Genomic DNA, 25,799 nt, shown 5'->3' on the forward strand with positions numbered 1-25,799 from the left:
AGAGACATGGGTGCCCCCTCCCCTCTCCTGCTTTTACCCCTCCCTGGATCCTGGGGACCCCTTCCTAAGCCCCGCCATGCCCAGGTGGAAGATTCACCCCTAAGACATCTGCCCCTTCCTCATCTGGCCTTCAGAGTCCCCCAGTGCCCCGGTCCTGTGACATATCAGCTGTCCTCCCTGTCCTGACACTTGCCCCAGTGGCATTCTAAGCTGGAGGCACCACAGTGGTGTGACTTGGGGGTCTGGTCTGGTGGTGTGCATGTGTGTCTCTTTTGAAAGGTCGTTCTCAGACTCCTGCTGGCTGCTGGAGAAGGAGGGGCACAGGTGGGAGCACATGGTCAGATGAGACCAGCGAGAGCTCCCAGATAGGGGTCCTGGGGTCAGGGATATGTGGGTCAGTGGGGAGGAGTGATCAGAGTCCCCGCCAAGGTGTGGGCAGAGCTGGGTGACCCTGGACAAGTCATGGTCCTCCCTGGGCACCGGCCCGTTTGGTCACCGAAGGACTTGGATCACATGGGTTTCTACCTCTTTGGGTTCTGAGGCTGATGAAAGGCCAGTTAGCCTCACCCCAGAAACATGTCACAGGCATAAACTGCTAAACAGGCAGGGGGCGCAGGTCCCCAAACCCTTCCGAGGGCCCCAAGACAAGTAGCTCTGAAGAGGAGGGCTCAGGGTCCCACCAAGTTTCCCTTTCGGGTTTCCCCTGGGAAACATCAGCTCCTACTCAGGTCCAGAGAAGTTCCGAGCTGCTGGGATGCACCAGCGCCCTAGTCCCCGCCCCATGTCTGTCACCACCAAGAGCCCCAGGAAGGAAGGCATAGCGCATCTCACCTGAGCGCAGGTCCTGGGGTGCTCAGGCGTGCTGCTCCCCTGAGACCTAAGGCCTACGCTGAGGCCCCGCCCACCAGGCCCCACCTCCTGTTCCGCCCATCCAGGCTTCACCTCCTGCTCCACCCACCTCCTGCCACACTCACCCCAGGCCGTGCCCCTCCACTGCACCCTGCAGCCCCTCCCACCTCCCACCACAACTGTTAGCCCCCAGCAACTCCCCCAACCCCCGGTCCTCGTCATGTGGCCCTCCCTGGGTCACAACCCCTAGGAAACCTGAGGAATCCATGGCCCCTGGGGCTGTGTCCCAGCACCCACTGTGGGATCGGCATGGGTGTAGAAGTGAGACTCCCTCCCCTCACCTCCCTCCAGACCCCTGTGCCCACTCCCCACCCCACGGAGGCCAAACTTTTTTTTCTTAAAACATTTTTACTTCTTTCAACCCAGAAACATCACCATTAATGAGGACAAGAGGGAAAGGAGGAGGGGGGCAATGTGGCATGGGGGTTAAGGGACTTCCATCTGAGCTTGGGAGCAGGTGTGTGGGGAGGAGTGCCATCAGGGGCACTTTCGCTCCACGCACTGCTTCCCGCCCTCCTCATATTCCTGCTTGGAGATCCACATCTGCTGGAAAGTGCCCTGGGTGGAGGGGGTAATATCAGGGTCAGGGTGGCCTTGGAGGGAGGTGTGGACAGGCAGGTGCAGCCCCTGGGAATCCTCCAACAGGCCCCAACCACCCCTTGGGTTCACATCCCTCTGAAGCCCCTCCCCACCTCATCCTCCCCTCCTCGGTCTGTCCCCTTTCATATTCAGAGGGAGAGTATCCTCTTCATATCATTCAATCAATAATTCATTCATTCAACAAGTATTATTGAACAGCAGTCTCTGCCCTGAGCTAGGCCCTGTTCCTGAGCTGGGGGGATGGCACGCACAGCCCCAGGCCAGGCAACCTGCACCTGGCACTCAACACCCCCTACACACACACAGTCCTTCCCCACCAGGTGTCCTCTTCTCACTCCATCAGGGCTTTGGAACACCGCCAGTCTCCCTCTTTCCCAAGGAAGATATTCCCTCCACCTCACCATTCCAACACTGTGGCACCCCATCTGCAGCCTTCGGCATTACAACTTGCCCCTTGAGGGTTCCTGCAATGAGCATCTCAGAGTGTCCCTTCTCTCTATTTTTTTAAAATTTTAATTTTAATTATTTTTATTTTTATTTTATTTTTTTGAGATGGAGTCTTGCTCTGTCGCCCAGGCTGGAATGCAGTGGTGCGATCTTGGCTCACTGCAGCCTCCGCCTCCCAGGTTCCAGCGATTCTCCTGCTTCAGCCTGCTGGGTAGCTGGGATTACAGGCGCGTGCCAACACGCCCGGCTAATTTTTGTATTTTTAGTAGAGACAGGGTTTCGCCATGTTGGCCAAGCTGGTCTCAAACTCCTGACCTCAGATGATCCGCCCGCCTCGGCCTCCCAAAGTGCTGGGATTACAAGCGTGAGCCACCGCGCCCAGCCTAATTTTTATTTTTTGTAGAGATGGTGTCTCACTATGTTGCCCAGCCTGGTCTCAAACTCCTGGGCTCAAGTAATCGTTCCACCTCAGCCTCCCATAATGTTGGGATTACAGGCGTGAGCTACCACGGCTGGGCTTCTTTGATCTTTCTCAGCCTACACACATGTGCTGTCCAATGCAGTGGCCACTAGCTTCCTGTAGCTCACCAGCCCTGGTCCAAATTGAGACGTGCTCTAAGTGGAAAATACACACCCAATTTTTTTGGGTTTTTTTTGAGACAGGATCTTGCTCTGTCACCCAGGTTGGAATGCAGTGGCACAGCTCACTGCAGCCTCAACCTTCCAGGTTCCAGTGATCCTCCAACCTTGGCCTCCCAAGTAGGTGGGACTACAGGTATGCGCCACATTGCCAGTTGCTTTTTAAATTTTTTGTAGAGATGAGGTCTCGCTTTGTTGCCCAGGCTGGTCTAGAAATTTTGGGCTCAAATGATCCTCCCGCCTTGGCCTCTCAAAGTGCTGGGATTACAGGTGTGAGCCACTCCACTTGTCCAGGATATATTATTAATACTTAATTTCAGGCCGGGCATGGTGGCTCACACCTGTAATCCCAGCACTTTGGGAGGCCAAGATGGGCAGATCACTTGAGGTCAGGAGTTTGAGACAAGCTTAGCCAACACGGTGAAACCCCATCTCTATTAACAATCCAAAAATTAGCCAGGCGTGGTGGCTCACGCATGTAATCCCAGCTACTCGGGAGGCTGAGGCAGAAGAATCGCTTGAACCCAGGAGATGGAGGTTGCAGTGAGCCAAGATTGCTCCACTGCACTCCAGCCTGGGCGACAGTGAGACTGTCTCGAAAACAAAAACAAAAACAAAAAAAGGAAAAAAACAAGAACTGTGTGGCTGACATGCTTCAGCCCTGAGCTAAGTTCAGACTGCCAGCCTCTGTCTTTCTGACCCTGGTTTCTGTCTCCCTGGGGGACTTCCTTTCTCGTGGATGTCCTCCTTGTCTGTCATGGCCCCACTGTCCCCTCTGTGTGACTGATACCCTCCAGATGCGGGTTGCAACTCCAGCTCCCTGCTCAGTACCTTCCTTCGAACCCAGCAGCAGGTCCAGACTGAACTTACCACCTCCTGCCCCAGAACCAACCTGCCTGCCTCCTTTACTAGTTGCCCCTTGCTGTCCACCCCATCCCCACTGCTACCCATGCTATGACTCCGGGACAATCAAAACAGCCTCCTTGTAAGGTCCCCTTGACCCCAGCTCATACCCCGACCCCAAAGACTCATGCCTGGCAGTCTTTCCAATCATGCCTGCATTGCCACATCACTCCCTTGCCCCAAAACATCAGGGTCTCCCCTCTGCTGACTGAGCACAGTGGGTGTATCACCAAAATCTCATCCTGACCAATCTCTCCAACTACCTGTCCCTCTACTCCCAATTTTTTTTTTTTTTTGAGAGTCTTACTGCGTCACCCAGGCTGGAGTGCAGTGGCACGATCTCAGCTCACTGCAGTCTCCGTCTCCTGGGTTCAAGAGATTCTCCTGCCTCAGCCTCCTGAATAGCTGGGATTACAGGCATGCACCACCATGCCTGGCTAATTTTTGGATTTTTAGTAGAGACAAGGTTTCGTCATGTTGGCCAGGCTGGTCTCGAACTCCTGAGCTCAAGTGATCCACCCGTCTCGGCCTCCCAAACTGCAGGGATTACCGGCATGAGCCACTGTGCGCAGCCTCTTCTCCCCAGTTTGTAAAAGTAGAGATGGGTCTTGCTATGTTCCCCTGCTGGGTTTTCAACTCCTAGCCTCAAGCCATCCCCCCACTTCAGCCACCCAAAGTGCTGGGATGACAGGTGTGGGCCACCATACCGGGCCCCTGCCCCCCGATTTGTGTCCTGTTCACCCTTCTGGGAACATTCATTGACTGACATTTCTCAAAACTAAATGTTTGTTGAATGAATGAATGAACGAAGAGGCAGTCAAAGTGGCGGGCACTGTCTGGGTCTCCCCTCTCCCCCACAGTCAGTGCTAGGCCAGGTCCCTTTCCTCTCACCAGTGAGGCCAGGATGGAACCCCCGATCCAGGGGCTGAACTTGCGCTCCATGGTGCTGTTGCTGGCAATGAGTTTCAGTCGCATGCTCTGGGGGTAAAAAGGGGCTGGGGGAAGCAGACACCTAGGTTCTGGGAAGGGACAGGGCTTGGGGGAGAGGGGAAGACTTGGGAAGCCACAGGGGCAGGGGTTCTGCTCTGGTGGCCAGAACAGAAGGAAGGACATGGGAAGGATGAAGGGACTCAGTCCTGGACAGCTGAGCCAGGACGGGTGTCCAGGGCTCTGGGTCAGGGGTGGGCTCCTACCGGTGGGGTCTTCTGGGAAAGCTCTCGATTGAGCCTGTCAGTGAAGCCCTGCAGCAGTGTGTTCCCGCCGGTGACAATGACACTCCCGTACAGGCCCTGAGAGCAGGGAGAAGGAGTGAGCTGCGGGGGCAGCCCCCCAACCCCGTCTCCCCACTTCCCCTGGGCCCCTTTGCCGAGCCTCAGCTCCGGCCTGGCCTCACCGGGCGAATATCAATGTCACACATGCCGATGCTGGTGGTCACCACGTGGCCCACACCCAACATGGTGTTCCCCGACAGGCCCTGCAGAGAGAGGTGACTGGGGCTGTGGGCTCTCTCCCCCTTCCCCCCAGACCCCTGCAATCCTTCCCAGCCTCCCCCACGCCCCAGGATCCAGGGACTGCAGCCAGCACCCACCCCAGTCCTCGCCACACAGCCAAACCTTGACGTTCGAGGGATCAAACAGGCCCTCAGGGATGCGGAGTCGCTCGGCGCCGTAGTCTGTATTGTAGCCATTGGGCATCTCGTAGTGCACTGTGGGCATTTGTGCAGCCACCCTACCCAGAAGGGAGCAGGACTCTGCCTGGGGTGCTCAAGAAGGATCAGTGCGTGGGCAGCACCAGAGCCCCCCAGCCCACCCCAAGAGTGCCGGTTCTGCCCTCTCTCCCACCCCAAAGCCCTGAGCCACACTCACTGTTCATCGTAGGGGGAGTCTGAGACCTGCAGCACGGAGGCCTGGAAGTCCTGGATCACCTCCTGAAATCCCAGCGGAGGTGGTGAGGGCCTGCCTTCCCCGTGAGCAGCACCCCCTGCCCCGCTCCCCCTCCCTGCTCCCCCTCCCATGCGGGGCCTCTGTCCCGCCCCCGATTCATGGCAGGGGAGGGGGGTTTCAGGTGGCCCTCTCCAGAGGCTCACATTACACATGTAGTTATGCCAGGACTTGGAGACCTGGGGTAGCTTCTCCTTCTTCTTCCAGTTTGGGGGGGCACCCTCCCGGACAGGCTCCTGTGGGGGCACAGTGTAGGAACACCCTTTCCTAGCCCACCTGACCCCCACCCCCACCTTCCTGGCACTGTTCCCAGCTCTGCAGCTACCTGGCGCTGCAGGCTCTGCTGTGCTGCCTGCAAGAGGGGTTTCTCACCCTTCCCTGATGGAGAGGAGAGAGAATGGGGCATGCCTCTCTCTCCATGTGTGCCTTTCATGCGGTGGGTGCAGCTGATCTGGAGAACACCAGGAATACAGCAGTGACAGAACCTCAAGGGAATGGCCTCCTAGGGGGTCATGATCCATGTGAGGGCACGGAATGGAGCTAAGCACACAGTGTCACTTCATACTCACAGCACCCTGGCTACTGCCTACTGCCGTTCCACTTTACATAAGACAAACCTGAGGCCCAGGGAGCTTTGATATCATGCTGTTGGTCACACAGCTCTTTTTTTTTTTTTTTTTCAGATGGAGTCTCACTCGGTCGCCCAGGCTGGAGTGCAGTGGCGCGATCTCGGCTCACTGCAACCTCTGCCTCCGGGGTTCAGGTGATTCTCCAGTCTCAGCCTCCCAAGTAGCTGGGACTACAGGCATGCACCACCATGCTTGGCTAGTTCTTGCAGTTTTAGTAGAGACGTGGCTTCACCATGTTGCCCAGGCTGGTCTCGAAGTGAGCTCAAAGCGATCTGCCTGCCTCAGCCTCCCGAAGTGCTGGGATTACAGGTGTGAGCCACCATGCCTGACCGGTCCTGCAGCTCTTGCACGGCAGAGGCAGAACTTGAACCTGGGTCTATATTGGACCCTAGAACCCACCACACTGGCCCTCACACATCCTGCTGTCTGCCAGCTGGTTTCATGACCTCAGCATATCCCTCAGCCTGTCTGGATTTCGGATGCCTCGATTATAAAAGGAGGAACTGGAGCCAGGACCCACTGGGGAGCCTGCTGCTCTCTGCTCTGATATCTCATGTGTCAGAGGGTTGACGGCCATGGGGCGAGTGGCCAGGACTCTAGTGGCAGCTCCATGTCCCCAGAGGCCCCACCTTGGCTGCGATCATGTAAGGTGGGATGATGTCAATGGCCATCTCCTGGAACAGCTCCCGGCACTGCATGGAGATGAAGTCCCCTGCCAGAGGGGACTTGACGATGCCTAGAAGGAAGGCACTGTCAGGACCTGGTCCTCCTGGAGCACCCCCACCCCCTGCCGAAGCCCCACCTTGCTGCAGAACGTAGCCGTCATGTACTGGAATGGCCGTGGTGTGGGTGGCTCCACTGTCCAGCACGAGGCCAGTGGACCGCCCGTTTGCAAAGCTGGCATCGGATGGGTAAGTCAAAGAGACAGCAGCAGCAAGTGAGGGGCCTGGGCCCAGATCTTGTCTGGTCACTCTCTGCTCTACCGGGGTCCAGCCCATCCCCAGTCTGCAAATCTCTCCCCCTGGTGATGACTCATCTCCTGGAGAAAGGCTCTGAGACCCCAGTTACTTCTTTTTTTTTTTTTTTGAGATGGAGTCTTGCTGTCTCCCAGGCTGGAGTGCAGTGGCGCAATCTCAGCTCACTGCAAGCTCCGCCTCCCGGGTTCATGCCATTCTCCTGCCTCAGCCTCCCGAGTAGCTGGGACTACAGGTGCCTGCCACCACGCCCGGCCAATTTTTCGTATTTTTAGTAGAGATGGGATTTCACCGTGTTAGCCAGGATGGTCTCGATCTCCTGACCTCGTGATCTGCCCGCCTCGGCCTCCCAAAGTGCCGGGATTACAGGCATGAGCCACCACACCCGGCGACCCCAGTTACTTCTTTAGTTATTTTTTTTTTTTTGAAACTGAGTTTCGTTTTGTCGCCCAGGCTGGAATGCAATAGCTCACTGCAACCTCTGCCTCCTGGGTTCAAGAGATTCTCCTGCCTCAGCCTCCCAAGTAGCTGGGACTACAGGTGCCCACCACTATGCCTGGCTAATTTTTCCATTTTTAGTAGACACGGGCTTTTGCCATGTTGGCCGGACTGGTCTCTAACTCCTGACCTCAAGTGATCTGCCCGCCTTGGCCTCCCAAAATGCTGGGATTACAGGCGTGAGCCACCGCGCCTGGCCAGCCCCTTTATTTTTGGTTGTGTCCTACAGATTCCCTGAAATTAGGGTCGCTATCACCCCAGTGCATAGCACAGGGTTCAATGCAAGGCAGATCCTAAAAACAGTCAGTGTTGAAGGAGTTCTTGGGAAGGGACTGCCGCAGTGTTCTACACGTCTCCCTCCTCTGTCCAGTTCCAGCCCCTACTCTCTCCCGGGCCCAGCTCACTGTCTGCTCAGCCTGATCCGGGGAACCGAAAGGGGCCGCTGATCTGGCCACCCCAGAGTCGGAGGTGCTCAGTCCACTGGGCCTTCTGCACTAGTGGGGCAGAGGGAGGTGTCTGCCCATTGGGACACTGATCTTCAGAGAACCAGGCCTGACCCTCCAGCTCATCACAGCTGAGCTCAGCACAGGCCCCACCCCAGCCCTCCACCCAGTCAGAGCAGCTCAGTCCAGAGGATACGCGGTGAGCACAGCCGTCTTGCATAAGAAGAAGGCAGGAATGTTGTACTGCTCGAACATCAGCTCTGTCAGCTTCTCCCGCTTGGCCCGTGTGTTCCACTGTGGAGAAAGTGCAGAGGGGGAGGATTCAGGAAGGGAGAGGCACAGACCCACATCCACGCACACGCAACCCACTCACTCACACATACACTCACGGTCACACACACACATCCAAACACTTGCACACACATACACAACCTAAACACTCACACATACACTCACGGTCATACACACATGCATTCACTTGCACACACACACACATACACTCAAACACACACACATACACTCACATTCACAGACACACATAAACACACACATGCATTCACACTATACATACACTCACGGTCACACATGCAAACACACTCACAAACACACGGTCAAACACATATATACTCACATTCACACACAAACTCACACACACACATACACATATATTCACACTCACAGTCACACACACATGCATTTAAAACATTTGCACAGGCCAGACAGGGTGGCTTACGCCTATAATCCCAGCACTTTGGGAGGCCGAGGCAGGAGGATTGCTTGAACCCAGGAGTTCGAAACTAGCCTGGACAACATAGTGAGATGCTGTCTCATTAAAAAAAAAATTTAAAGTAAGGAGCTTGTGGGAATTAAAACTACATGAACAGAAATGAAAAACTCAATAGAAGGATTGGAACATAAAGTGGAGGGAATATCTTGGAAACCAAAGGAAAAAGGTAAAGAGATGGAAAATATAAGAGAAAAGGGAATTAAATTAGGGGACCAATTCAGGGGGCAACAAAATCCAATAACAGAAAATCCCAAGAGAGAAAATGGAGAGAAATAAATAATTAAATAAATAATTCTTTTTCACTGAATTGAAAGACATATGTTTTCAGAATGAAGAGACATACTAAGTGCCTAGAGCCATGAATGAAAATACACCACACTGAGGATAAAGTAAAAATTCTATAAACTTTCAGAAAGAAAAACATTACATCAGAGGATCAGAAATCAGATGGTTTCATCCTTCTAAATGGCAACGATATATGCTGGAAGAAGGACAATGGAAAAGTGCCTTCAAGATTCTGAAGAATAATGATTTCTAACCTGGCATGGGATACCTAGCTAAGCTATCAACTCAAGGTGAGACACACAAAAGTCTCAAAAAATATACTTCCCATGACCTTATTTTAAATTTTTTTTTTAGATGCTGGGCGCGGTGGCTCATGCCTGTAATCCCAGCGCTTTGGGAGGCCAAGGCGGGCAGATCACCTGAGGTCAGGAGTTTGAGACCAGCCTGGCCAACATGGTGAAACCCCGTCTCTACTAAAAATACAAAAATTAGCCAGGTGTGATGGGAGGTGCCTGTAATCCCAGCTACTTGGGATGCTGAGGCAGGAGAATCCTTGAACCCGGGAAGCGGAGGTTGCAGTGAGCCAAGATCACGCCATTGCACTCCAGCCTGGGGGACAAGAGTGACACTTCATCTCAAAAAAAAAAAAAAGTTTTTTTTTAGATTATTATTTAATTAATTATTTTTTTAAATGGAGTCTCACTCTGTCGCCCAGGCTGGAGTTCAGTGGCATGATCTAGGCTGACTGCAATCTCTGCCTCCTGGGTACAAGCAATTCTCTTGCCTCAGCCTTCCGAGTAGCTGGTACTACAAGCATGCACCACCATGGCCAGCTAATTTTTATATTTTTGGTAGAGATAAGGTATCAGTATATTGCCCAGGCTGGTCTCAAACTCCTGGACTCAAGGCCTCCCAAAGTGCTGGGATTACAGGAGTGAGCCACTGTCTCTGGCCTCTCATGACCTTTCTAAGGCAGTTACTGAAGGACCTGCTCCATGAAAACAAAGGAATAAGTCAAGAAAAGGAGTCAAGTACAGGAAACAGGACTTCTAACCAGGACAGAGGCAAAAGGATTCTACAAGATGATGGTGAAGGAAGATGCCAGCATGACAGGTCTGTCCCCTGGCAGAGGGCTACTAGTGCAAACTGGACCAGGTCAGTGGGCTCCTGAAGAAATTTCTTCAAGAAATGAAATTGATGAGAGGCCAGGTGTGGTGGCTCACGCCTGTAATCCCAGCACTTTGGGAGGCCGAGGCCGGCGGATCGCGAGGTCAGGAGATGGAGACCATCCTGGCTAACACGGTGAAACCCCGCCTCTACTAAAAATACAAAAAATTAGCCGGGCGTGGTGGTGGGTGCCTATAGTCCCAGCTACTTGGGAGGCCGAGGCAGGAGAATGGTGTGAGTCCCAGCTACTTGGGAGGCTGAGGCAGGAGAAATGGAGCTTTCAGTGAGCCGAGATCGCACCACTGCACTCCAGCCTGGGCAACAGAGTGAGACTCCATCTCAAAAAAAAAAAAAAAAATACAAAAAATTAGTCGGATGTGGTGGTGGGCACCTGTAGTCCCAGCTACTCGGGAGGCTGAGGCAGGAGAACCCAGGAGGTGGAGCTTGCAGTGAGCCGAGATCGCGCCATGGCACTCCAGCCTGGGCAACAGAGCAAGACTATGTCTCAAAAAAAAAAAAAAAAAGAAATTGATAAAATATCTAATGGAATTGACGTCTTGACAAAAGATACAATTGATGAATGATTTAGGGTTCACACTGTTAAGTAGATAGAAAACCAGACCAAATATAATCAAACACAGGGCTGGGATGGTGGCTTACGCCTGTAATCCCAGCACTTTGGGAGGCCAAGGTCGGTGGATCACGAGGTCAAGAGATCGAGACCATCCCGGCCAACATGGTGAAACCCCGTCTCTACTAAAAATACAAAAATTAGCTGGGCGTGGTGGCACGCACCTGTAGTCCCAGCTACTCAGGAGGCTGAGGCAGGAGAATCACTTGAACCCGGGAGGCGGAGCTTGCAGTGAGCTGAGATCGCACCACTGCACTCCAGCCTGGTGACAGAGCAAAACTCCGTCTCAAAAAAAAAAAAAAAAAAAAAAAAAAAAAAAAAAAAAAAAAAATTGAACACATTTTTTTTCCAGTTCTAGGAAAACAAAAAGTTGCACAAGAAAGGAAAGGTGATCATGGTGTATTGCCTGTCTCAGGCCTGATTAGCATACATAGTAATAGGAGTGTAAATATTGGGCTGAGCACAGTGACTCATGCCTGTAATCCCAGCACTTTGTTAGCTGAAGTAGAAGGATCGCTTAAGCACAGGAGTTTGAAGCCAGCCTGGGCAATATGATGAGACCCCATCTCTGCAAAAGATTCTCTTAAAATTATTTCTAATTTAAAAAGAATGTAAATACTGAATACTGATTTCTTTTAAAGTCTAAAATACAACTGGGCTGGGTGTGGTGGATCTCGCCTGTAATCCCAGCCTTTTGGGAGGCCGAGGCGGGCAGATTGCTTGAGCCCAGGAATTCAAGACCAGCCTGGACAACATGATGAAACCCTGTCTCTAAAAAAAATTTAAAAATCAGCTGGGCATGGTGGCTTATGCCTGTAGTTCCAGCTACTCTGGAGACTGAAATGAGAGGATCACTTGAGCCCAGGAGACCAAGGCTGAAGAATTGTGCCACTGCAATCCAACCTGGGTGACAAACTGAGCAGACCCCCTGTTTTTGAGGCAAAGTCTCAAAAACAAACAACAAACAAAACCCCAAACAACAACAACAACAACAACAAAACCCACTGTACTTAAAGGAGGGTGATAAGAAATACGTGTGGCATAGGCTGGGGAGGAAAAGAGAGCTAAGCGATCATTTTCTAAAGTGGAAAATTCAGCGATAATACCTAAAACTAAACACTCCACAGGCAGCAATTTAAGTGTAGTATTAGAGATATGGAAGAAAATACCCCCAACATTAGCTAAAAAGGAGAAAAACAGTTGCTTTTATAAAGAGGAATTTATAAGGAGGTGGGTAAGAACATTTTTTTAAATGAGGTTTTAAATTTTTTTTTTTTTTGAGACAGAGTCTCGCTCTGTTGCCCAGGCTGGAGTGCAGTGGTGCGATCTCAGCTCACTGCAAGCTCCGCCTCCCGGGTTCACGCCATTCTCCTGCCTCAGCCTCCCGAGTAGCTGGGACTACAGGTGCCCGCCACCATGCCTGGCTAATTTTTTGTATTTTTAGTAGAGATGGGGTTTCACCGTGTTATCCAGGATGGTCTTGATCTCTTGACCTCGTGATCCACCCGCCTCGGCCTCCCAAAGTGCTGGGATTACAGGCGTGAGCCACCACACCCGGCAAAAAATTTTTAATTTTTATTGTTTTAATAAAAGAGACGGGTCTTGCCATATTGCCTAGGGTGGTCTCAAACTCCTGGGCTCAAGTGATCCTCCTGCCTTGGCTTCCCAAAGTGTTGGGATTACAGGTGTGAGCCAACATCCCCAGCTCACCAAAGTTGACCATAATAATAATAATAATAATAATAATAATAATAATAATAAGTGAAAAGGTCAAAAAAGGACTTGGAGGCTGGGCGTGGTGCCTCATGCCTGTAATCCCAACACTTTGGGAGGCCAAGGCGGGTGGATCACCTGAGGTCAGGAGTTCGAGACCAGCCTGGCCAACAAGGCGAAACCCCCTGTCTACTAAAAATACAAAAAATTAGCCAGGCGTGGTGGCGGGTGCCTGTAATCCCAGATACTCAGGAGGCTGAGGCAGGAGATTCCTTTGATGTCGGGAGGCAGAGGCTGAGATCTCACCATTGCACTCCAGCCTGGGTGACGGAGTGAGACTGTGTCAAAAAAAAAAAATTTAAAAAGGACTTGGAGACAGAGAAGGGCAGCAGAGTGCATAGAGCAAGAAGAGAGCAGGAGGGATGGAGACTTAGCCAAGAAGGAAGGAAATTGTTTGGGATGGGTGAGGGGAGTCTGAAAAGGGAAGGGAAGTGGCTCAGAGCAGTGGCTTGAGGGGAGAGGAGGAGAGGTGGATGGTGGGAAGGAGGTGCAGTGGAGATCAGGGTTGGACATGAGGATGGAGGAGGCACTCACCGGAGCCTCGGACATGAGCACTGGGTGCAGGTTTGGCTCAGACTTGACGTGTTTGCTGTAGGTGTGATCCAGGATGGCTCGGAAGCACTCCCAGTCCTCGACTGGGGCCAGAAGAGCAGCGTGCAGAGACGCAAGAAGGCAGGCAGGGGACAGGGACAGGAAGAAAAGGAGGGAGAAAGGCCAAGCCCAAAGGAGGGTCAGTGAGTCCAGCTCCAGGGGAACGCCCCCCTTCCCAGAAACCTGGTGGGCCCCTGGGAAGGGAACCCAGCGAGAAGAACCCTGGCAGCCAGAAGAACCCTGGGGCTGCAAGGAAGACTCCGCGGGGAGTGGGGGCTGCTATGACCCAGATTGTGGGGAGCGGGCTCCTTTTCTGTCAGGAGGTGATGGGTGGGGGCCCCTTACTCATGCCATTCTTGAGGGGCGACATGACCTCCGCTCCATCCCGAGGCACGTGCAGGGCATTGGTGTCGATGTGGAAGATCTTCCCTTTCTTCTCTTTGTCCCCCTCCAGCTCCAGCCCGCCCCCCTCCTCCGCGGCCAGCAGCCCCACTGTGGTGGGGAAGTCAGCCTGGTGGGGAAGGGTTGGGGGAGTATTGGCAGGGAGAGAGGTCACCCTCTTGCCCCTGTCCAGCCCCACAGCAGGGTCCTCAGACCGCCCCTGGGTTTATTCCCATATTCCCGCTCAGCAGAGCTTCTGGGCGATCTGGGAGAGCCCTGGGTCACTGGAAAGCCTGAAGAAGGGTCCGAAGCCCCTAGGATTTGGAGAGGAGACTGGAAGGCTCACCTTGGGACAGTCCTCCCCAGCGTACCCAGCGCGGACTGAGAAGGAGCCAATGTCAAAGACCAGCGCCCCCACCTCATCTGTGCGGGGAGACAGGCCTGTAAGGGGACCTCCCCCGAACTCTCTCCCGCTAGGTAGCTCCGAGAGAAAGTCAGGGCAGAGCCACAGTCTCGCCACTTTCAACACCAGTCTGGGGCCGGTGGGAGCTGGGCCTGGAGTCCGAGGTCCTGGGACTGGGGGTGGGGGCATCACACCGCCAGGGTCCCTTCTTGCCCAATGGCCTTGCTCAGGGCACCCTCCCGACGGGAAAGGAAGGGGCCCGGGGCCAGGTGGAGGTGGGTTGCAAGGTAGGGCCCTGTGCGCGCGGGGCGTCTGGGGAGGACCGAGCGCAGGGGTGGCGGGAGACCCGAGCCTGAGACTCGACCCGCTCGTGCGCGGAGGTGACAGGCCCCGGGGTGCCCAGAGCTCGGATGGATGGCGCGGGTTTGGAACGCAGGGCTGCGGGAGCCGGGGGCCCGAGGCTCGCTCACCTCCGCCGTAGACGCCCCCGCTCATAGTGCCCGCTGCGCTGCTAGCGGCCCGTGGGCGGTGGCGGGATCAGCACCGAGGCGGCCGGACAGCTCCCGGGATCCCTGGCGGGGCGGGACTCTCAGCGGCCAATTGGGAGGCCGGATCCCCCGCTCCAACGGCGCCGCCGATTGGCTGCCAGGCGAGACAATGACCGACCGGGGGCAGCTGCTTTAAAGGGGAAGATACACTCTATTAAGCGGCCAGGAGGAGATGGGGCAGGGGGCACCTAGCAGGGACTTAGAGACCGTCGCTAAGGAACTGGCGGCAGAGAGGAGAGCAGGGAAGAGGCGGAGACCAGGACTCTGCAGGACGACTGATGAGGTCCCTATCCCCTTGCTTTTTATTTTTATTTTTATTTTTATGGTAGAGACGGAGGTCTTGTGATGTTGCCCAGGCTGGTCTCGAACTCCTGAGCTCAAGCGATCCTCCTCAGCCTCCCAAGTAGCTGGGATTACAGGCAGGTGCCAGCACGCCTGGATTAAAAAAAAATTTTTTATAGAGACGGGGTCTTGCTCTTTTGCCCAGGTTGATCTCGAAGTCCTGGCCTCAAGCGATCCTCCCACCTCAGCCTCTCGAAATGCCAGAATTACAGGCGTGAGCCACTGCGCCCGACCTCTACCCCCTTACTTTTTAAAGCAGGATTGGGGAGAGAGGTCCAGTTCCCAGAAGGGTTATCTATCTTCAGGCTGCTCTGAGCCCGGTTCTGCCACACCCAGGCCTAAATGGAATCACCAAGGTCTAAATGGAATCACCGGGAGAGGGAGGGAAGGGAAGATTGAGAGAGGGACCAAAGGGGGTGTGTCTCCATCTCTCTCTGTTTTTACCTTTTTTTTTTTTTTAAGAGACTGGGTCTTGCTACCTTGCCCAGGCTGGTCTTGAACTCCTGGCCTCAAAGTCCCAAAGTGCTGGGATTAAAAGCATGAGCCACCGTGTCCAACTTCCCTCCTTTGTCTTTCGTTGGCCCCTTTTTTCCTTGCCTTGCTTTCCCCCCCACCCCCCGCAGTACCTAGGCCTTATACATGTGTACACATGCTTACACATGTGTACATACGTTCACACACAGGCATTCAGCCCATCTGGCTTTAGCTTCCTTTCTCCATCTGTCTCTCTTCAGCGCCTGTTCTCCTGAGGAGGCATTTATCAACAAGAGGGTTTTTGTTTCTTTTCTTTTTGAGTTAGGGTCTTCCGTCACCCAGGCTGGAGTGCAGTGGCACACTTATAGCTCACTGTAACCTTGAACTCCTGGGTTCAAGTGATCCTCTCGCCTCAGCCTCCTGAGTAGCTGGGACTTACAGGTGCACACCACCACACCTGGCTTTTTTTTTTTTTTTTTTTTTTTTAAGAAAAAACTATGTTGCCCAGTCTGGTCTCGAACTCCTGGCCTCAAGTGATCCTCCCACTTTGGCTTCCTCAGTCACTGGGATTACAGGTGTCAGCCACAGCGCCTGGCTAACAACAGGGTTTTCTACTGCTTGGATCCCAGGTTCTTCTGGGCTCCCAGTACCACAGTTTTGGTAGCAAAGGCAAAGGAGCAGCTCTGACAACTTGGGGTAGGTGAGGGACTCTTATGTGAGGGTGTGTGTGTGTCTGTATGTATGTGTCTATGTGTGTTGGCATATGGGTGCATGTGTGTACATATGCACATCTGAATGCTTGTGTGTGTTGACTATGCCCATCTACTTGTTTGGGGGCGAGGGAGCTTTGAGACCAGAGATAGCACAGGAAGTGGATACTATGTGAGGTCCGCGTGCCCCTGAAGGTTCTCTGCTCACCACATGCCCACCCTGGAAGAGACTCCACCCCTCCCCGGCCAAAGGACAGATGGCTTTAGCTGGCTCATGGATTACCTACTGACGACGGTGGCATTTCAATGCCTAGGGTTGGTTCCAAGTTCAGACTTGGCTTCTAAGACTGAAAGGGTCCAGGTTTCAGCAGGAGTGGTGAGCTGTAGGGGAGAGGGCCGACTCAGGAGCTGGGAGAGTGAGATTTTTCCAAAGTGACCCTAGGTCAGTCCATTGAGGTCTGGAAGAATTGAGTGGATCTCTTAAAGTGCTTACATTTCTTTTTTTCTTTTTGAGCTGGAGTCTCACTCTGTTGCCCAGGCTGGAGTGCAATGGCGCAATCTCAACTCACTGCAACATCTGCCTCCTGGGTTTAAACAATTCTTCTGCCTCAGCCTCCCAAGTAGCTGGGGTTATAGGTGTGTGCCACCACTCCTGGCTAGTTTTATTATTAGTAGTAGTAGTAGTAGTAGAGACGGGGTTTCACCATGTTGGCCAGGCTGGTCTCAAACTCCTGATCTCAAATGAACGGCCCACCTCTGCCTCCCAAAGTGCTAGGATTACAGGCGTGAGCCAGCATGCCCAGCCGAGTGCTTGCATTTCTTATCGTTTAAAATGCTGAGGTGAGGATGAAAGGAATGTTGGGGTGGAAAGTGATTATATTCATCTTATCCCTCTCCTTTTGTTGGCATTTAATGATGTTGCCTCGCTTACTCTGAAGTTCACCTTGCCAATTCCTACTATCCCTTCTTTCCTCCCCACCACCCCAACCATCTCAGATTTAGAAACTTGCCCAGGCAGGGCATGTGGTGGCTCACGCCTATAATCCCGGCATTTTGGGAGGCTGAGGTGGGAGGATCGCTTGAGGCCAGGAGTTTGAGACCAGCCTGGGCAACAAACAGACCCCATCTCCCCAAAAAAAAAAAAAAAAAAAAAATGAAGAAGAAAAGAAACTTCCCCAGTCTTGGCTGGGAATGGTGGCTCACACCTTTAATCCCAGCACTTTATGAGGCCAAGGCAGGTGGAACACTTGAGGTGAGGAATTCAAGAGCAGCCTGGCCAACATTGTGAAATCCTGTCTCTACTAAAAATAAAAAAATTAACTGGGTGTGGTGGTGCACGCCTGTAGTCCCAGCTACTCGGGAGGCTGAGGCAGGAGAATCGCTTGAACCCAGGAGGGGGAGGTTGCAGTGAGCCAGTGAGCCAAGATCACACCACTGCACTCCAGCCTGGGTGACAGAGCAAGACTCCATCTAAAAAGAATAAAAAAACAAAAGGAAACTTGTCCAGTCTGGCCAGGCATGCTGGTGTGTGCCTGTAGGAGTTCTACAGGTTTTTTTTGTTTTTTGTTTTTTTTTTTTTTTTCCAGCTAGAACCTGAGCTCTGTCCTGGATCACACAGTCCGCTGGGATCAGAGCCAGGATTAGAACCCACAGCTCTTATCACCCAGTTGAGATATGCCTTTGTTTCCTAACACCTCTGTGTTTCTCACCAAGTTGTGCTGTCTCTATCTACAGGACAGCTGGCGATGAGGCCCCCATCTGATTCTGGAGTCAGTGTCTGGCTGAAAGCTGGGCATACAGGACTATTCAGTAAGTGTCCCTGTGGATGTTTTAAGGCCTTAATATTATTATGCATTAAGTTGGAAACCTGCAGTCTATTTGGTAATAAGCAGTGAATTTTCTTCTCATGGCTGGGGGGAAAGCTACAGTTGGCTAACTACAGGGCAGAACTTGATTTAACCCCAGTCAACTGTGACCAATTTTCTTTTGTCATGGGATCTGACATAAGATTCTGTGTATTATGGAAGTGGTTAGGGTAAAGCAATTAATACATTTCACTTATCCATTCATTGATTCAACAAATATCCCTTTTTTCCTTTTTAAGAGACAAGTGCTGGACATGGTGGCTCATGCCTATAAACCCAGCACTTTGGGAGACCAAGGCAGGAAGATGGCTTGAACCTTGGAGTTAGAAACCAGCTTGAGCAACATATCAAGAACCCATCTCTACAAAAAGTTTTCTAAAAAATTAGCCAGGCATGGTGGTGTGATCCTGTAGTCCCAGTTACTTGGGAGGATGAAGTGAGAGGATCACTTGAGCCCGAGAGGTTGAGGCTGTAGTGAGCCATGATCATACTACTGCACTCCAGCCTGGGCAGCAGAGCAAGACCATGTCTCAAAAAATAAAATAAAGAGACAGGGTCTTGCTTTATTGCTCAGGCTGGAGCGCAGTGGTATGGTCACGGATCAGTGCAGCCTCGAACTCCCGGGCTCGAGATCCTCCTGTCTTGGCCTCCCAAAATGCTGGGATTACAAGCATGAGCCCTGTGCCTGGCCAAGAAACATCTTTGATGCCTACTGTGTGGCAGGCACCATGCTAGACATAGGAGGGATACTGAGATGGGTGACATACGGGATATCCTTGCTCTCAAGGAGCTTTGGTGCAGTGGGGAGCTCAGATACGCACAGAAGAGAGGTGAAAAGGAGGCCAGGGCCGGGCGCAGTGGCTCACGTCTGTAATCCCAGCACTTTGGGAGGCCGAGGCGAGTGGATCATTTGAGGTAAGGAGTTGAAGGCCAGCCTGACCAATATGGTGAAACCCCGTCTCTATTAAAAATACAAAAAATTAGCTGGGCGTGGTGGCATGCGCCTGTTATCCCAGCTACTCAGGAGACTGAGGCAGGAAAATAGATTATAACCGGGAGGCGGAGGTTGCAGTGGGCCTAGATTGCACCACTGCACTCCAGCCTGGGTGACAGAGTGAGACTCCACCTCAATTAAAAAAAAAAAAAAAAGATGCCCGGAGGAGGGAGGGGTTACCTGTCGCTGAGAATCCAGGAAATCTTCTAGAAGTGAAGTTGGAACTAAACTGTGAAGGATGAGTTCATGCACAGTGGCTCAGGCCTGTAATCGCAGCACTGTGGGAGGCTGAGGCGGGTGGATCACCTGAGGTCAGGCGTTTGGGACCAGCCTGGCCAATATGGCGAAACCCCATCTCTACTAAAAATACAAAAAGTTAGCTGGGCGTGGTGGTGGGCGCCTGTAGTCCCAGCTACCTGGGAGGCTGAGGCAGGAGAATCACTTCAACCTGGGAGGCAGAGGTTGCAGTGAGCTGAGATTGTGCCATTGCATTCCAGCCTGGGCAACAAGAGTGAAACTTCGTCTCAAAAACAAACAAACAAACAAAAACCGTGAAGGATGAATAGAAGCTCATAGGTGAAGAAAGCGGGAAAGATATCCCACAAAGAGAACAGCATGGACAGAGGTCTAAGGACATGAAAACTTCTGGAATATGTGGAAATAGGAGTTCAGTCTAGAAGGAGGGTTGGATGTGAGCCGCTGACAGAGGTCAGTGTCAGGAGGAGATGAGATGAAGTAATTAATGACCAGCTGGATGAGGTCGAGGCTGCAGTGAGCTATGATCACACCATTGCAGCCTGGGTGACAGAGTGAGACACTGTCTCTTAAAAATAAAATAAAATAAAATAAAATAAAAATAAAACCAATGGGTTCATGCCTACAACCGTTTTTATTTGTTTATTTTTGTTTCTTTCTTTCCTTTTTTTTTTGAGATGGAGTCTTGCTCTGTCACCCAGGCTGGAGTGCAGTAGCGCCATCTTGGCTCACTGCAGCCTTTACTTCCCGGGTTCAAGCAATTGTCTGCCTCAGCCTCCCGAGTAGCTGGGATTACAGGCGCCCGCCACCACGCCTGGTTAGTTTTTGTATTTTTAGTGGAGATGGGGTTTTACCATCTTGACCAGGCTGGTCTTCAACTCATGACCTCATGATCCAACTGCCTCAGCCTCCCAAAGTGCTGGGATTACAGGTGTGAGCCACCGCGCCCGGCCTTTTTTTTGTTTTTGGTAGAAACAGGGTCTTGCTATGTTTCCCAAGCTGGCTGTTTTTTTTTTTTTCCTTTGAGAAGGAGTCTCGCTCTGTCGCCCAGGCTGGAGTGAAGTGGCGCAATATCAGCTTACTGCAACCTCCGCCTTTTGGATTCAAGCGATTCTCCTGCCTCAGCCTCCTGAGTAGCTGGGATTACAGGCATGCACCACCACGCCCAGCTAATTTTTTTTTTATTTTTAGTAGAGACAGGGTTTCACCATGTTGGCCAGGCTGGTCTTGAACTCCTGACCTCAAGTGATTCACCCACCTTGGCTTCCCAAAGTGCTTGGATTACAGGCGTGAGCCACCACACCCAGCCCTTGTTTTCTTTCTTGAGACAGGATTTCGTTCTGTCACTCAGGCTGGAGTGCAGTGGCGTGATCACAGCTCATTGCAGCCTCAGTCTCCCGGAGTCAAGCAATCCTTTTGCTTCAGTCTCCCGAGCAGCTGGGACCACAGGCACACACCACTACACCCAACTGGTTTTTTTTTTTTCTTGAGACAGAGTCTTGCTCTGAAGCCCAGACTGGAGTGCAATGGCATGATCTTGGCTCACTGCCACCACTGCCTCCCAGGTTCACGTGACTCTTCTGTCTCACTCCCAAGTGGCTGGGACTACAGGCACGCACCACCACGCCTGGCAAATTTTTGGATTTTTAGTAGACACAGGGTTTTGCCATGTTGCCCAGGCGGGTCTCGAACTCCTGACCTCAGGTGATCCGCCTGCCTTGGCCTCCCAAAGTGCTGGGATTATAGGTGTGAGCCACCGTGCCTGGCCTGATTTTTGTATTTTTTGCAGAGATGAGGTTTTGCCATGCTGCCCAGGCTGGTCTCAAACTCCTGACCTCAAGCAATCCACCTGCCTCAGCCTCGAAAGGTGCTGGGATTACAGGCCTGAGCCACTGTACCCAGCCTTCACCCAGCCTTCTGTCAGATAAACCAAGTGCCTTGGCTTCACAGGGAGCCCCGGTCCCAGGATGGATGGCAAGTGCCCAGAAATACACAGTCCAGTAAAGGCTTCAACAGGAATGGAGCCAGCATTGCAGTGGGGCACAAACAACATTTAAAACAATATTTAAACTAAGTCCCAGGAAATGGCCTGGGTTTTTCTGGCAGACAAGGAAGTGGAGCTGGAGGAGGGGTGAAAGGCATTTCTGAGTTGAGGGGACAAGACCTGGCCTTTGTGTCATGCAAAGAAGTTGACTCTTCTCCTGGAAACCCCTGGGAACTACTGCAAGATTTTGAACAGGAGGGTTATTGACCCAACTGGCATTTTAGAAAGATACCTCTGGCAGCCATTTGGTAGATTGATTAGAAAGGGACTAAGTTAGAGGCCAGGAAATGGGCAGGAATCAAGGTAATAGCAATTGGCACACCGTAGAAGGGATGGATTTAAGCAGTATTCAAGAGATAGCATTGGGCTGGGCACAGTGGCTCATGCCTGTAATCCCAACACTTTGGGAGGCTGAGGCAGGAGGATCACTTGAGGCCAGTGTTGGAGACCACTCTAGGCAACATATCGAGACCCCATCTCTATAGAAAAAAAAATTTTTTTTTAATTAGCCTGTCGTGGTGGTGCGTGCTTGTAGTTCTAGCTACTCAGGAGGCTGAGGCAAGAGGATCACTTGAGCCCAGGAGGTTGAGGCTGTCAAAAAAAAAAAAAAAAAGAGAGAGCGATAACATTGACATGATGGATCCACTAGGCATAGACTGCTACTCTTATACCATTTCCCATTGCCCTTCTTTGTTTATTATTGTTATCATCAATTATTTTTATTTTTTGAGACAGGGTCTCACTCTGTCACCCAGGCTGGAATGCAGGGGTGTGATCATAGCTCACTGCAGCCTCAATCCCCTGGGCTCAAGGGACCCTCCCACCTCAGCCTCCTGAGTTGCTGGGACTACAGGCATGAGCCACCACATCTGGTTAATTAATTTATTTATTTTTATCTTTAGCAAACATGAAGTCTCACTATGTTGCCCAGGCTGGTTTCGAATTCCTGAGCTCAAGCAATCTTTCTCCTTCGGCCCCCAAAGTGCTGAGATTACAGGTGTGAGTCACCATGCTCAGCCTATTTTATTATTTTTTATTTTTTATAGAGACAGGGTCTCACTACGTTGCCCAGGCTGGTCTCGAACCCCTGGGCTCAAGTAATCCCCCTGCCTCGGCCTCCTAAATTGCCTTCTTTGTTTATTAATAATGTTTTAGCTGTGTACATGGATAGAGACTACATGTCCCAGCTTTCCTTGCATCTGACTAACTTTTTATTTTAATTAATTAATTGATTGATTGATTAATTAATTAATTAATTTTGAGACGGAGTCTCACTCTGTTGCCCAGGCTGGAGTGCAGTGGTGCAATCTCAGCTCACTGCAAGCTCCACCTCCCGGGTTCACACCATTCTCCTGCCTCAGCCTCCTGAGTAGCTGGGATTACAGGTGTGTGCCACCACACCTGGTTAATTTTTTTTTTTTTATTTTTAGTAGAGACAGGGTTTCACCATGTTGGTCGGGCTGGTGTCGAACTCCTGACCTCGTGATCCGCCCGCCTCGGCCTCCCAAAGTGCTGGGATTACAGGTGTGAGCCACCGTGCCCGGACTTTAATTCATTTTTTATTAGAAATTTAAATAATAGAGATGGGGGTCTTGCTATGTTAACCAGGCTGGTCTTGAACTCCTGACCTCAAGCAAACCTTCTTCTGGCCTCCCAAAGTACTGGGATTACAGGCATGAGCCACTGTGTCCAGCTGCATCTGGACAACTTCTGAGCAGGTTAGTGGTGTCCTTAATCAGGAAAGGACCTGTGCTTCCTGCTTTAACCCCCTTCCCACATTCAGATATGATGGTGATTTCTGCCTAGGCCCCATGGAACAGAGAGATAGAAGCCACATGTTTAAGATGGCAGAGACCAGCTGGGTGCCGTGGCTCATGCCTGTAATCCCAGCACTTTGGGAGCCCGAGGTGGGCAGACTTGAGGTCAGGAGTTCGAGACCAGTCTGGCCAACATGGTGAAATGCCGTCTCTGCTAAAAATACAAAACTTAGCCGGGTGTGGTGGCACACACCTGTAATCCCAGCTACTCAGGGGCTGAGACAGGAGAATCACTTGAACCCAGGAGGCGGAGGTTGCAGTGAGGTGAGATCGCACCACTGCACTCCAGCCTGGATGACAGAGCGAGACTCCCTCTCAAAAAAAACAAAAACAAAAAGAAAACAAAAGGAAAAAAAAGATGGCAGAGATGTCCCCACAGTCCTGGAGTATCTATTTTGAGGTTAAGTCACTGAATTTTGGGGAATTCTTTGTTATAGCCGCTTCGCCTATACCCTAACTGACCATCCTTTGGATATGGGGAGGGAAGGCATGGGAAATATCTGAGTGGGTGCTGGTGCTGTCAACTGGGCCAGGATATTCAGGGAAGGGGTAAGGTTGGGCAGGGTTGGGCTCAGGGGAAGATGATTAACTTAGTTTTGAATATGTTGAATGTGAAATGTCTGTGAACAGTGGTGTGTAGTAAATGGTTTTTTGTTTGTTTGTTTTGAGACAGGGTGTTGCTCTGTCACTCAGGCTGGAGTGCAGTGGTGCGATCATAGCTTACTGCAGCCTCCAACTTCTGGGCTCAAGCAGTCCTCTCACCTCAGCCTCCTGAGTTGCTGGGACTACAGGCATGCCACCAAACCTGGATAATTTTTAATCTTTTTTTTGAAGATGGGGTCTCGCTGTGTTGCCCAGGCTAGTCTCAAACTCCTGGTGGTGAGCCACCATTCCTAACAACCAGCTCTTCAAAAAGGGGGAGCCCTGATCGGAAGCATTTGCCAATGTCCATGACGTAAACAGTCACACCTTGGCTGAGTTCAAGTTCCTACTATCTTATTTTATTTTATTTTATTTTTTTTGAGATGGAGTTTCGCTCTTGTCACTCAGGCTAGAGTGCAATGGCGCTATCTCGGCTTACTGCAACCTCCACCTCTTGGGGTCAAGCGGTTCTCCTGCCTTAGCCTCTTGAGTAGCTGGGATTACAGACACCCGCCACCACGCCCAGCTAATTTTTTTGTATTTTTTAGTAGAGACGGAGTTTCACCATGTTGACCTCAGGTGATCCACCTACCTGGGCCTCCTAAACTGCCGGGATTACAGGCGTGAGCCACCGCGCCCAGCTCTTCAAGTTTCTGCTACCAAGATGCCTTCACTGAATAAGGAGCTGGGTGTACAATGGGCACTCGTGACCTGGCATGAGCGGATGCCAGCATGCCACTGTCCACGGGCATCTAAGTGGGGATATTCAGTCAGCCATTGGATGTACACCAAGTCGGCACACGGGGAAGAGACATCTGGGCTGGAGACAGTAATGGATGAAGTCACCAATGAATAACATGGAGAGTGAGCAGAGGAGGCCAAAGTCAGTATTCTGGGAAAAACAATGTTTGCAGAGTGCCCTGAGGAGGAGGAGATGCTAAGAAGCCAGAAGAGGTAGAGGAAGGAGGCCCTGTGACCCATCAGAGCCACATCCGCCACTTGCTCTCGAGGGTCCTGCCTGCTCAGATAAGTTGGCTACTCATTGGTCATCACCTGGCAACTCTGTCCTTCCTTGCATCTGGCCAACTTCTTTTTCCTCTCTCTTTCCTCCTGCCCTCCTCATTACCATCTAAATTAGCTCCAGTAGCTCTCATCAAAACTCAAATAACGGCCAGGCGCGGCGGCTCATGCCTCTAATCCAAGCACTTTGGGAGGCTGAGGCGACTGGATCACCTGAGGTCCGGAGTTTGAGACCAGCCTGGCCAACATGGTGAAACCCTGTCTCTACTAAAAATATCAAAATGAGTTGGGCGTGGTGGCACATGCCTGTAATCCCAGCTACTTGGGAGGCTGAGGCAGGAGAATTGCTTGAACCTGGGAAGTGAAAGTTGCAGTGAACCGAGATCGCAGCACCACTGCACTCCAGCCTGAGTGACAGAGCAAGACTCTGTTTCAAAAGGAAAAAAAAAAAAATATATATATATATATATGTAATTTTTCTGTAGAGACAGGGTTTCTACAATTTTTTTTGTAGAGATGAGATCTTGCTGTGTTGTGCAAGCTGGCCTCAAGCGATCCTCTTGCCTCAGCCTCCCAAAATGCTAGGATGACAGGCACGAGCCACCACGCCCAGCCTAAAAAATATACATATCTTTTTTTTTTTTTTTAGATGGAGTTTCGCTCTTGTCGCCCAGGCTGGAGTGCAGTGGTGCAATCTCGACTCCCTGTAATCTGAGTTCCAGCAATTCTCCCGCCTCCCTCCTGAGTAGCTGGGATTACAGGCACACGCCACCATGCCTGGCTAATTTTTTGTATTTTTAGTAGAGATGAGGTTTCACCATGTTGCCCAGGCTGGTCTCGAACTCCTGACCTCAAGCGATCCTCCTGCCTCAGCCTCCCAAAAACGTTGGGATGACAGGCATGAGCCACCGCGCCCGGCCTAAAAAACCCCGACTATCTTGATTCCACTTCCTCTTCTCACTGCTGCACCAGCTTTGTACATGGTCCCCGGCCAAGCTGAGATACCCAAAGTCTGGTCCACGTTGTTTTTCTCCACTGCATCATTTCTCACTCACCCATTGCAAATGCCGTAGGCAGAGCTACAGTGG

At 51.7% G+C, this 25,799-nt stretch overlaps 1 protein-coding gene and 1 long non-coding RNA gene across 3 annotated transcripts, besides 2 other annotated features; one reads left to right on the top strand and one right to left on the bottom strand.

Annotated features, from left to right (window-relative positions):
• On the bottom strand, positions 1,238–14,589 carry ACTL6B (actin like 6B). Of its 2 annotated transcripts, none has more exons than NR_134539.2 (14): positions 14,471–14,589; positions 13,944–14,020; positions 13,562–13,727; positions 13,160–13,260; positions 8,179–8,276; positions 6,870–6,964; positions 6,697–6,803; positions 5,585–5,674; positions 5,364–5,425; positions 5,112–5,226; positions 4,892–4,972; positions 4,692–4,787; positions 4,390–4,493; positions 1,238–1,467 (listed from the first exon to the last, which is right to left on the bottom strand). NR_134539.2 is itself a non-coding variant. In NM_016188.5 (14 exons), exons 1-14 carry the CDS (start codon positions 14,493–14,495, stop codon positions 1,387–1,389), a joined length of 1,281 nt encoding a protein of 426 aa, NP_057272.1. In that variant the 5' UTR covers positions 14,496–14,589; the 3' UTR covers positions 1,238–1,386. The 2 variants fall into 2 exon arrangements, 1 of the variants encoding a protein (NP_057272.1); NM_016188.5 differs by having other exon boundaries at positions 4,390–4,476.
• Positions 7,464–8,010: an enhancer, noted in NCBI's record as "H3K27ac-H3K4me1 hESC enhancer chr7:100246946-100247492 (GRCh37/hg19 assembly coordinates)". NCBI's record gives its function as "activates a minimal SCP1, AML or CMV promoter by ChIP-STARR-seq in naive H9 embryonic stem cells {active_cell/tissue: H9 hESC(naive)}" and the evidence as "EXISTENCE:reporter gene assay evidence [ECO:0000049][PMID:30033119]".
• Positions 8,011–8,555: an enhancer, noted in NCBI's record as "H3K27ac-H3K4me1 hESC enhancer chr7:100247493-100248037 (GRCh37/hg19 assembly coordinates)". NCBI's record gives its function as "activates a minimal SCP1, AML or CMV promoter by ChIP-STARR-seq in naive H9 embryonic stem cells {active_cell/tissue: H9 hESC(naive)}" and the evidence as "EXISTENCE:reporter gene assay evidence [ECO:0000049][PMID:30033119]".
• Positions 14,590–14,701: 112 nt separating the features above from the next.
• Positions 14,702–24,567, top strand: LOC105375429 (uncharacterized). The gene is made up of 3 exons (NR_133946.1): positions 14,702–14,831; positions 17,809–17,883; positions 24,243–24,567. It is a non-coding gene; the product is annotated as an uncharacterized LOC105375429 (long non-coding RNA).
• The last annotated feature ends 1,232 nt before the right edge of the window (positions 24,568–25,799 follow it).

Source organism: Homo sapiens, chromosome 7 (assembly GCF_000001405.40).
Source record: "Homo sapiens chromosome 7, GRCh38.p14 Primary Assembly".
NCBI classification, from domain to species: domain Eukaryota; kingdom Metazoa; phylum Chordata; class Mammalia; order Primates; family Hominidae; genus Homo; species Homo sapiens.

Bases quoted from the DNA above. Each gene is read 5' to 3' on its own strand.
- ACTL6B (NM_016188.5), bottom strand. From the start codon at position 14,495: ATGAGCGGGGGCGTCTACGGCGGAG. The intron at 6,965-8,178 runs GTATCCTCTGGA...ATCCGATGCCAG, and splicing joins AAGACGGCTGTGCTCACCGC to CTTTGCAAACGGGCGGTCCA. The intron at 5,227-5,363 runs GTGAGTGTGGCT...CCTTCTGGGTAG, and splicing joins GACTCCCCCTACGATGAACA to GGTGGCTGCACAAATGCCCA.